Below are 13,081 nucleotides of genomic sequence, written 5' to 3' on the forward strand. Positions count from 1 at the left end.
AGCCTTCTTTAAGAGTTATGATGTTATAGGTTTATGATAGTTTTTCATTTTATTCATGTCTTATTTATACCATTGACATCAGAAAGAGCATTGTTGTTCATATCAAAATAATTACTTATCCCTTCTTGCTTTTTTGTTGTTTTAACTGAAATGGGACCCACTAAGAGCTGTGTTAACTCATTTCCATCTTAAGAATTAGATCATCAGAGATAGCTACCCTCAAGTCAAGCTGCTGAGTAGTAGCAAATTAGAGTCTTGAGGACCTGGGCAGGACCTGAGAAGGAAGGAAAGAGTGAGAAAAAAATTGACCATTTGTTACTGCTAAAGCTTTGATACTCATGTCCAGAGAGGCAAGGGCAGAAATACCAAATATGGCTGCTTTCTGGCAAAAGAGAGGGTGCCTAGATAGGAGGACCGGATGGGTCAGTAATTAGAACAAAGACAGCATACGCCACAGTGCAAGAGGGCAACAAGTGGTCAGATCTAAAGTCAGAGCCATGGCTGACGCAGTGGCTCATGCCTGTAATCCCAGCACTTTCGGAGACTGAGACAGGTGGACTGCTTGAGGCCAGGAATTCGAGACTAGCCTGGCCAACATGGGGAAACCCCGTCTCTACTAAAAGTACAAAAATTTGCTGGGTGTGGTGGTGCATGCCTATAATCCCAGCTACTCTGGAGGCTGAGGCAGGAGAATCGCTGGAATCTGGGAGGCGGAGGTTGCAGTGAGCTGAGATCATGCCACTACACTCCAGCCTCGGCGAAAGAGCGAGACTACTACGTCGCAAAAAAAAAAAAAAAAAAAAAAAAAAAGGGAAATAAATAAATAAATAAATAAAGTCGAAGCCAGAGCAGGAATAACAAGGCAAAGTCAGTGGGCACCCACTCGGGTTTAGGGTGACTCTTAACTCTAAACACCCAGGGCAGTTAGGTCAATGCAACATGTGGCATCTTCAAAACTAGAGAGCATTTTATTTTGTTTTATTTTATTAAATGTTTGTGGGTATATAGTAGGTGTATATATTTATGGGGTACGTGAGATATTTTGATACAGGCATGCAATGTGAAATAAGCATATCACGGAGAATGGGGTATCCATGCCCTCAAGCAGTTATCCTTAGAGTTACAAACAATCCAATTACACTCTTTAAGCCACTCCAAAATACACAATTAAGCTATTGACTATAGTAATCCTATTGTGCTATCAAATAGTAGGTCTTATTCATTCTTTCTATTTTTTTGGACCCATTAGCCATCCCCACTTCCCTCCACATTTTAAAGTGGTGACTGAGGGCTGCCTGTCTGATGCTAGGGGCCTGTCCGTTTTGTGTTTGTGGTTTTGCACAGATTCTAACACTGTTGGTGGGAATCGTATTATTTGTTTTGATGAACTTTAATTCAGTGAGAAATAGATAAGTTATATTCATTATGTTCTATCTACTCAGTAAATAAGTATACAGTATACTGTGAATATATTTTTCGGTTCACAAAAAACAGAAATAAAGCTGGATAGTTAAAATGTTGTTTCTAGTATCTGGAAAAAGTCATTTATGTACAATACCTTATTCTAATAATACTAGAAATATCAGAAGTTACAGTTTTAAAAAGTCATAATGATTATATAGGAATAGTCCATCATTCTAGTAGTGTAATCTGGATATCTTTTTCAAGCTAGGAAGCACTGTAGAAATCTTTGGATTTCAGTAGTAAACAGACTGTCTCAACATTTCTGAAACCCACACTACAATAGAGAAATGTTTTTAAAGAGAGGCATTTATTGTCCGTTTGTTGTCTTTTTCACGTTTTTGGATCATCTTTAAAAGGTCGTACAGAATATCTGAGCTACACTATTTTTTAAATGTAGAAAGTAGGCACCTTCTGATCCGTGGTCAGACGCGTTACCCATTGCGCTACTGGCCACATGAAAAAATGCTCACCATCACTGGCCATCAGAGAAATGCAAATCAAAACCACAATGAGATACCATCTCACACCAGTTAGAATGGCAATCATTAAAAAGTCAGGAAACAACAGGTGCTGGAGAGGATGTGGAGAAATAGGAACACTTTTACACTGTTGGTGGGACTGTAACCTAGTTCAACCATTGTGGAAGTCAGTGTGGCGATTCCTCAGGGATCTAGAACTAGAAATACCATTTGACCCAGCCATCCCATTACTGGGTATATACCCATGACCCAGCCATCCCATTACTGGGTATATACCCAAAGGACTATAAATCATGCTGCTATAAAGACACATGCACACGTATGTTTATTGCGGCATTATTCACAATAGCAAAGACTTGGAACCAACCCAAATGTCCAAGAATGATAGACTGGATTAAGAAAATGTGGCACATATACACCATGGAATACTATGCAGCCATAAAAAATGATGAGTTCATGTCCTTTGTAGGGACATGGATGAAATTGGAAATCATCCTTCTCAGTAAACTATCACAAGAACAAAAAACCAAACACCACATGTTCTTACTCACAGGTGGGAATTGAACAATGAGAACACATGGACACAGGAAGGGGAACATCACACTCTGGGGACTGTTGTGGGGTGGGGGGAAGGGGGGAGGGATAACATTGGGAGATATACCTAACGCTAGATGACGAGTTAGTGGGTGCAGCACACCAGCATGGCACATGTATACATATGTAACTAACCTGCACATTGTGCACATGTACCCTAAAACTTAAAGTATAATAATAATTAATTAATTAATTAAAAAATAAATTAAAAAAAAGTAGGCACCTTATTTCTATTTTATTTCTATGTATGCACAAAAATAAGGCAAGATGCTAGTAGGAGTCTGTAAAATTGCACTGTGAAGTAGGGTGATAGGAAGAGCACAGTTTGAGTCTAGGCTCAATTGCTTTAGGCTAACTGCTTTTTCTCTCTGAACTTCATTTGTAAAACTTAGGTAATGAAGACCTACCTTTATGGTTGTTGTAAAGAATATGTAGTGGCTTCTTCGTAGTCTTTGATTAGTAAATGTTTGTTTTCCTTTCAGCTTTCCTTTTGGACCTATTTACAGTTAGTTTATTACATTTTCTCATTTTCCAGTCTTTGAAGAATTTGTGACTTATCACCACCTACTTAAACATTTTTTGTGCCTCTTAATCTCTCTTGGAGGCAGAGTAGTTACTATAAAGATTTAAGCTCAGCTATATATTTCCTGTTACTTAAAAAGATACTTTATACTTGGCCATTCTTAAAAATTAAGTTTTGGGTCCTTTTTGTAGTTTAATTATGTACACTTCACACATCCACAATTGATCACTACATACAGATGTCCACAATTTATACGACACTACACACATTGACATAAAATACTATGATATGAGATAATGGGATAATTTAAGAAAAAAGAAAAAAGTATTCATGTATGTTTTCTGAATAAGTTTTTCATTAAAAGCCATTTAGGCTTTTAGATCAATAAATATTATAGTTTTAAGTAGCCAGAGACTTGAGGCAATGACCATTATCTTTTAAAAAACAAATCTGAAATTTAGTTTTTATATGCATTATTAATAAGATAACTGAAGATAAGTGAAAAAAGTACCTTTTCCCCTTGTCTTCAATAAATATTTATTACAGTGTTTATTTTATGCCAACATTATAAACTAGATGTTAGGTCTACAATGGGGTTAATGAGATGAGATAGACAACCTGCTTTCAAGAAGCTTCCAGTTTAGTGTGAGAGAAAGGTGTTGAAACTGTTATTCCGGATTTGGAGGATGCTGTGAAGGAGAAGCACAAGGGAAGCTGATCCACATGAATATTTCATGATGTTATTGAAGCAAAATGAAAATGACTGCTATATTTATGTTATATCTTAAGTTCAAATGTCAGGGTCAGATGAAATCTGTGATATATTCTTAATGGTTGATATCTTTACATAGAAGTTGTTTTAAATTTATATACAAAACAGAAGCCTCAATAATTTAGTTATTATATTAAAAAGTAAAGCTGTTTGGTGTAATCTCCATCTCTCTTAACTGTTAGGAATGCCTGCTGATCATCTGTATGCTTACACTAGCTGATAAAGTGATTGCTTGTTGTAGAGCTATTATAGGTTTAAGATATCAGTTTGCTCACCTTTTTGTTGTTGCTGCTGCTTCCGTAGGAAATTCAGTGAACATTATCACTCCTTGTGTAAAGCAGTGCATCACCTAGCAACTGTTGACTGCATTTTCTCCCTGGCCAAGGTCGCTAAGCAAGGAGATTACTGCAGGTAAGATATTTTTCATTTTCCTCTTTATCAGTGCTTTAGATAAGATGACATTATTCAATTAATTATAGTGTCTTTATTATAAAATATTACAGTTACTCAAATGTGTTAGACTCTTGGGAAAGCTGAATGTCATACATATGTAGCTTGATTTGAAAATTAAATTCATTTCTTGCTTCCTCTGTCACTGAGTACAATGAAAGCAGATGTTAAAGTTTATGTGGGTGACATTTTTATAAAGTTTCAGCACTCTTTTCATTTGTTAGCTTTTACTTGAACACTTTTATAATTATAAAAGTTTGATTAGGCAAGAAAAGACTGAGAAGATAGGGACTGAGGGGCATTTTAGTGATCTGTTCCTTTTGTTAAGAGCCCATATTCATCCCACTATTCTTTATTGACCTCTAAACATCCCAACATGGAATATTTATTCTCTTTTTCATAAAGGATGTTAGCACAAACAAATCTAACTTTAAAATTCAGATGGCTGGGCGCATGGCTCACGCCTCTAATCCCAGCACTTTGGGAGGCTGAGGCAGGCAGATCACGAGGTTAAGGCATCGAGACCATCCTGGCTAACACAGTGAAATCCCATCTCTACTAAAAATACAAAAAAAATTAGCCGGGTGTGGTATCACGTGCCTGTAATCCCAGCTACTCAGAAAGCTGAGGTGGGAGAATTGCTTGAACCCAGGAGGTGGAGGTTGCAGTGAGCCAAGATCGTGCCACTGCACTCCATCCAGCCTGGGCAAGAGAGTGAGACTCTGTCTCAAAAAAAAAAATTTTTTTTCAGACAAAACTTTCATACAAGTTGTATGTCTTCCAAAGCTTGATTTTATATATACTTAAGAAAAAGTAAGACTAGGCTTGGTGGCTCATGCCTGTAATCCCAGCATTTTGGGAGGCTGAGGCAGGAACATCTCTTGAAACCAGGATTTTGAGACCAGCCTGGGCAACATATTGAGACCCTATCTCTACAAAAATTAAAAAATTAGCTGGGCGTGGTGGTGCACACCTGTAGTTCCAGCTGCTTGGGACACTGAGGATTGCTTGAGCTCAGAAGTTTGAGGCTGCAGTGAGCCATGATAGTGCCCATGCACTCCAGCCTGGGTGACAGAGCAAGAGCCTGTCTCAAAAAAAAAAAAAAAGAGAGATAGAATTTAAAAAATACAAAATTAAATAAAGTTGTTCAAGTTCAAATGTTTTATTCTTTCCAGGAGGCATCTAGATTATTCCCTTCACTGCCATAGGTGTCATCAGTATGCTTTCTTGCTATGCGTGTTCTATCCTAGTGTATCCTCCCAGCTCTGTGAGTTATCCTTTGCATCCTATTCTGCCAGGAAGCGTTTTGTCATTATATAATTTTGATAGCAACAGAATAAGTCGATGTAAATTTTAGTGCAGAAAAAATCACTTAAAATTTTGTTCCAAAGTGAAAATCTTCCTGGTAAATCATATCAGTGTCATGAATATTATATAATGATTTCACTTGGCAGAGCACCTAGGATTTTATTTTAAAATTAATGTCACAAATACTTTCATTTTTTTCTTTTACAATGAATTTGTAACCCACCTAGACAAAAAATCTTGTCTTCAGAATTACACTCTAAAATCCAAAAACTATCCTTTTTTCATAATTTTAAGTGTCTCTCTCCAACAGATGATTTCAAAGTATTTACTCAGAAGACACTGTAGTCACTTTTTTTTTTTTTTTTTCCTGAGACAGAGTCTCACTCTGTGGCCCAGGCTGGAGTGCAATGGTGCGATCTCGGCTCACTGCAACCTCTGCCTCCCAGGTTCAAGGGATTCTCCTGCCTCAGCCCCCTGAGTAGCTGAGATTACAGGCGTGTGCCACCACGCCTGGCTAATTTTCATATTTTTGGTAGAGATGGGGTTTTACCATGTTGGCCAGGCTGGTCTTGAACTCCTGGCTTCAAGCAATCCACCTGCCTTGGCCTTCCAAAGTGCTGGAATTATAGACGTGAGCCATAGCGCCTGTCCTGTAGTCACTTTCTTTGCAAAATGTGAGAGCATCTGGGATTTTATTAGCCAGATATATTTAAGAAGAATAATTTAGGAAAGTAGTATTTATTGGTGTTATGAGTAAGTTCAGAAATGTGGTTACACATGAAAGTTCTGAGTCAAAGAACTATAGGAGGTCATTGGTAGGATATTATGCTTTTGAAAAAAGACCAATGAATCACCAAGAAACTGATGAAAAGATGTTCAATCTTAGTAATCAGTGAGTGCAAATTAAAACAATGGGATAACGCTGTTTACCTGTTATGTTGACAAACATTAGAAAGTTTAATAATACCAACTTTAAGTGAGGGTATGAGAAAACAAGTTAACTTTCATATCCTGCTTGTAGGAAAGTAGATTGGTATATCTACTCTTGTCTATTAAAATAAAAAATAAGCATACTCTGTGACTTAGGAATCCCACTTTAAAAATTTACTCTAGCTTTGGGAAACACTTGGACTTGTACACGTGGAGATGTGTATAGGATTGTTCATTGCATCATCGTTTATAAGTAAGAATTTGGATGCAATCTAAATGTTTAACAGTGGAAAATGTGTAGCAGCTTTGAAAATCTGACAAGAAGTGATCTTCAGTATACTCTACTGTAAGGGCCTATTGAACCTAATTTCAGTTTCTTAAAGGCCATCTAAAGAACAAAGACGAAGTTTACTTTTTTTCCTTTAAAAAGGAGAGTAAAACTTACTCTGTCTTACACTTACCATGTGGGTTTATTGGATTGTTTTATAAATGTAAGATGCATTTTGGGATCTTTAGTGATCTTATTTTTTCTGTATCTTGGAACATTTTGTTATTTCTTCATCCTGAGTATTGTTTTAACATTGTTTATCATTTGTTTCAACTATAATATAAAAGTCTAAAATGAAAAGAAAATGAGAGAATGATGATGCAGAAGTGAGGGGAGAAATCACTATCACGTCATCCTTCTGTTTTCTTCTTGTATTGCCCGCATTACATCATCTTCCAAGAAGGTATAAAAGAAGAGTGCAGATGCCACAGTTGGAGTCTGCTTCTAATTTTCATTGAACACAGTTGAAAATTCAGAATTTTTCGTTGTTCACCCGTAAAGGCAAAGAGAACAAAATTGACAGAAGGCCTTTCATAATTATTAGCTTAATCAGATGATGAATGTGAAGAGAAAAAAACCAGTGCCCTGCATATTCATGGTGATGGTGAAATTTCATGTATCAGCAAAATCTGAGATTCTGAATGCTCAGAAAATATCCTAGGTGAATTTTCTCAAACTCAAAAGTTGGTATGTGAATAATATATTTGTAAGGGCAAAATGAACTCTGTTATTCTCGTCCAGTTAGTCATTCAATAGGAAACATTCATCATGTAATATTTGGTGACAAGAACCTGGACTGTCCTGTTTTGCTGAAAGATGTGATAGTATTCTTCTATCTTTTATAATATTTATTCACTAAAATTTACTTGATACAATTTATAGGTTACAATTTATAGACAGACAGGAGATTGAAAGGATATAGATGATGTAGAAATAAAGGTACTCATTTGATTATTCTAATTGGTGTTGATAAGTCAAAAAATGAAAATATTTTGCAATTATGGAGCAAAGATGACCATCTCTTTAAGAAAATTATGAGCTTTAAAAGATTTCAAAAACTTCTTCAAGTATTTGCATTTTTGTTGATACAAATGTGAAAAGAATCAGAAATAATCAGCTCTAGAACCTATTAGAAATGTATTGAAATTTGGAATTTAGTATTTATGAATGAATATGTTCTAGATGCATGCTTGACGGCTGATGAGCAATGACATTCAGAATGTCTTACCCATTTCAGATATATATGCCTTGAAAACCAGGAGAATATGGAATAAAACTTTTGAGATTTGCTGTGTTTAAATTCTTATTAAAATTTGTCATGAGGTTGATTTTTTTTACTATCCCCTTATTCTCATTTCTGTAAAATTATTTGTGAAATGACTTTAAAGGAATATATTAAATCCAGATAGTAAATGGTGAAATCTATTTTTTGTGTGTGTACTGAGAGTTAAAATAAACTTTGAATTTTTTAAGTTACAGAATGATAGATTACAGTATGACTTTTCCAAAGAAATCACAACGAGTGTGATGCATACATAAACATAAATGCACAGAAGAAGGTTGGAAAGGGTAGACACCAAGCTGGTCTCAGTAGTAACATCTGGGAAGGAGAGCTGAGAGTAGGGCAGGGCTCAGAGGTGCTTGAATACACAGCTAAAGCTGTAGATAAAACAGATATAGAGGTCTTTAAAAAGCATAAAGAACATCAAGGTCAAAAAATGATTCTTGTATCAAAGTAAAAGATACAAAAGACCGTAGAAAGATGTTTTAATTGAACAGCGTATGAAAATTTTAGGTCATTTCATTTCCAAGTCCAACACATAGTTTATATTAATAATTACATCTAGAAATAATTTTATGTGATTTACTTTATTGTATTCATTAATGAAAATAAGTAGCAATAATCTGAACTGTTATCTTTACTAATGAAAATATTGGTTTGATCTCAGACAACAATAGAAAAATGAAGAATAAAGCCCAGCATGGTGACATGCACCTATAGTCCCAGCCTCCTCAAGAAGCTGAGGCAAGAGGATCACTTGAGCCTAGGAGCTTGAGGCTGTAGTGTGCTATGATTGTGTCTGTGAATAGTCACTGCACTGCAGCCTGGGCAGCACACTGAGACCCTATCTCTTAAAAAAAAAAAAAGAAAGAAAAGAAAAAAAAGATCTTGTAAAGGTAAACTACAAGGGTGAAGCCATTTATAAGACTCTTCTAAAGTATGTGCTTCAGTGCACTATTATAATAATAAATGTTTTCCCAATTTTGATCTTATAGTTCAAATTTAACTTTTATACTCAAGGTTTTATTCTGGACATATGTTCTTAAAATCTATGTTTAAAGTTTTGTTTTCTGTCGTACAAACAGAGTACTGAAATTTTTCATGCTATCTTAGAGTTTTTTTTTTAAGGCTATTTCCATGCCTAGTAAATTGAAACATATTTCTTTTTTGCAGACCAACTGTACAAGAAGAAAGAAAAATTGTAATAAAAAATGGAAGGCACCCTGTGATTGATGTGTTGCTGGGAGAACAGGATCAATATGTCCCAAATAATACAGATTTATCAGTAAGTACCTTATGCCAAAAAATAAGTCGATGATAACATCCCAAACTTTTACATACCAAAGAAACATTTTTATAATTAAAAGTTACCCAAATTTCAACTTTGGCTTTAAATGGGCTAAGCCTGGACATAGTTTTATATTTACCACGAAATGTGGAATTGGTGCTATTTCCAATGCAAGATTATCAATAGGTTTAGTAACTAAAAGTTTAGTTCTAATTAGTTATCCTAGGTAACCCAATAAAAATATTTTACATTTGTAAATACCCAATATGCAAATAGAGTTGGAATTATACCATAGTTTTGCAAATTCATGTTAGCATGTAGTGTTCCATCCTTTGTACTGTGACTATTTTCAGATATTCTATGCAAGAATCAGAGATGCCTTTGCAGATTCCAGTGATGAGAATTTTCATTATAGGGGCTGGATTTCTCTTACATAACACAAATGATCCTGAATACTTAATTTACTTAACACATACTTACTGAGTGCCTGTGTCTCAGGTAATGAAGTATTAGGAACAGAGACTAGTAAGCAAGACAGAACTCTTCCCTGCCCTCACAGAGCTTGTTGTATAGCAGAGAAGATAGGCTAGTGCAATACAGCTTAGTGCATGGCATGATAGAGGAGACCAGGATGGCCTGGGGATAGGTAGCAGGTTGGCCTAACCCAAGGGCAGGGAAGCATTGAGGAATGTTCCCCAGGGAGGAGATACCAACTGAAGAATGAGTCAGTGCAGGCCAAGGTATTGAAGGGGAGTATTCCAGGTAGAAGAACCAGCATGGCAGATATTGGAAGTGAAGCATAGCAGGAGGAATTCGAGGAACTGAAAGATGATGAGTAAGGTTGGAGTGCAGAGTGTGAACAAAGAAGTGTTCAGAGATAAGGAAGAGGCCAGTTCACTCATATCAAGAAATTTGCATTTTTACCCCTAAAAGATTAAGAATACTAGCAAGAGAGTGATAGAAGCTGGGTAAAAATAGTGAAGTTATGGCAGGGTGTTTGAGTTCCATTGTCAAAGCTAAATGGAGCTGGGCACTGAAGTGGTAAGGATTGATCTTATTCAGTAATACTCCTGCATAGGGAAGAGTCCAGTGTGAACTGAACTTGACTTCATTTTGGCATAGATGACTGGGTGTTTTAAAGGGAATACGAGGGAACAGGGAAAGGGAATGAGCTGGGGGAGGAGAGAGAGTGAGGTGTGGTTATTTGAAACCTATCTGGGTTTACTAATTGTTTGCTTATACCACATTTCAAAGAGTCAGCTCTCTGGTCCTTAAGAAGACAATTCTGGGTGATAGATTTACATCACAAAGGGGCAGAAAAAGTATTTATAATTGCAAGCTTTCTAAGGTAACTGTTCTAAGAAGGGCTTCAGCATCTGGCTGCCTGTCACCAAATTTTGGCTGGAATGGCGAATCCTGGCAGCACTGAGTTTTCTCAGGCAGATACTTTTAGTGGGGCTGGGGTCATCCTAAGGATGCAGCCTTGAGCTGTTAGAAACTATGCTAGTGGGGTAACTTCTAAGTAGGGAGGGTGGACAAAATCATTTTTACTCAAAGTCTCTAGGTTTTTATAGGTCAAAGTTGAGAACTAGTCCAGAAGAGGGCTCAGAGAAAAAACCTGATGAGAATTTGGTCAAGGACATGGGGTAAAACGGTATGGTGATGGGTCAAAAAATGAATATGTAGGGAGTAGTTATGTGAGAGAGAAGGTATCAGAGAATAAAATGCCTGACTTTCAGATATCAAATGTGCTGTTTTTCTGGTTGATGGCAAGATCTTATGTATGGCTATGGAAGGTGGGTAGCAGAAGGGAGAAGGTCTTTGGAGATGAAGAGATCAAGGAACAGAGTTTGGGAAAAAGTTGTCCATGTGAATGTTGAAATCTAAGATAACAGCAAGATATGCCATAGAGGAAAACAGGGATCCAGGTGTCTGAGATTGCGAGAAATGGCGATTGGGAATCCTGAAGTTTATAGATAGCTTAGATTGAGGACAGACAGTGGTAAAGCCCTAAAGAAGAGCTTCTGAACCCTGAACCCTGAGGTACATGGTCCATGGTTGGATGTGGCAGAAAGGTCAGCGCCCAAATGAGAGAGCTGCAGGGGAATAACAAACAGCCAGCCAGTTTTCATTTTAGTGTATGAAGGAAATGTTAAGCAAGGTGGTTAGAAACAGAAGTACTAAGGAACTCTTCTGAGGACAGTGAAAGAATTGAGATGTAGGGGAGCATTTGGAATGTAGATCAGAGAAAGCTCAGAGTAGTAGCGAGCTGGGACTGTAACAGAGTATTCTACCTCGGGCTGTGAGCAGAGGTGGCAGAGATGTGTGGCATGGTGCATTTGGCTGGCCATGAGAGGGGGATGTGAAGGGAAATACTTTGAATGACATCTAGTTTAATTTATAATATGGATTTTCATATCATAACAAGACTTGTTGGTAGTATATAATGCATGTCTTAGTCTGTTCAGGCTGCTGTAACAAAATATCATAGACTGAGTAGCTCATAAACAACAGAAATTTATTCCTCAGAGTTCTAGAGGCTGGAAAGTCCAAGATCAAGGTACCAGCAGATTCAGTTTCTGGTGAGGGCCTGTTTCCTGGTTCCTAGATGACACCTCACATGGTGGAATGGGTAAAGGGTCTCTTACTCATGTATTCACACAGTGGAAGGGATAAGGGGTCTCTCTCAGGCCCTCATGAACTTGTCATCTCCTGAAGGCCCCATCTTCTAATACCATTGCCTTGAGGGTTAGGATTTCAACATACAAATTTGGGAGAGAGACAAATATTCATACCATAGCAACCTAAGACCCAATGTCTATAAACTTGTTCATTCTTTTTTAGGAAATTTTTATATGTGGTAGTCAAACAAGTTAATAAGTACCAATCTTTTTATTGTCTTTAAAAAGAAGACTATGTCTTTGAGAGGCCGAGGCAGGAGGATTAGTTGAAGTCAGGAGGTCGAGACCAACCTGGCCAACATGGCAAAACCCTGTCTCTACTAAACATAAAAATTAGCTGGGCATGGTGGCGCCTCCCTATGATTCCAGCTACTCAGGAGGCTGAGGCAGGAGAATTGCTTGAACCCAGGAGGCCGCTGCACTCCAGCCTGAGCAACAGAGTGAGACTGTCTCAAAAAAAAAAAAAAGAAGACTATGTCAACATAAGAATTTTTTTTTTCAGTTCTCATAATACCAGTAGGATATAGCTTTTCTTGAGAAAGTAATATAAGTTAAATATAAACTAAGCAACTAAATATTAGAACTATAAGTTTCTTAAAATAATTTCCTGTTACTGTTTCCCTGCCCATCTACTTGACCTCAAGAATATTACCCTTGGGATTGACTTATTTCTTTTTTTCTTTCCTTTTTCATTCTTTTTCTTTCAAAACGTATGTTACACTTTAATAAAGCAAGATTTGAAGAACTAAAATAGCCTTCTGTCTAATTACAATAATGTTTTAAAGAAACATTGAACTCTTACATTTAAATCTTTACAAAGTAAATGGAGTAATTTTTTTTTCAAGCAGGCACCTCAGAATATTCCAGAATATTCGTTTCTATTACATATGCTTTTTCTAACTTGAGTAGGAGTTGATATAGAACTGTTGCTATGGTGAAGTGCATTCTATTTTTCAGGGTAAAAATTTATATATAGGGATAG

General features: G+C 36.7%; 1 protein-coding gene across 1 annotated transcript in view; it reads left to right on the forward strand.

Annotated features, from left to right (window-relative positions):
- The window catches only part of MSH3 (mutS homolog 3), a 222,164-nt gene that overhangs the window by 128,778 nt on the left and 80,305 nt on the right, over positions 1-13,081 (forward strand). The window contains exons 18-19 of the mRNA NM_002439.5: positions 4,136-4,243; positions 9,304-9,415. Of these exons, the coding sequence (NP_002430.3) occupies positions 4,136-4,243; positions 9,304-9,415 (220 nt within the window). The remainder of the gene's footprint in view (positions 1-4,135; positions 4,244-9,303; positions 9,416-13,081) is intronic.

Source organism: Homo sapiens, chromosome 5 (genome assembly GCF_000001405.40).
Source record: "Homo sapiens chromosome 5, GRCh38.p14 Primary Assembly".
NCBI classification, from domain to species: Eukaryota; Metazoa; Chordata; class Mammalia; order Primates; family Hominidae; genus Homo; species Homo sapiens.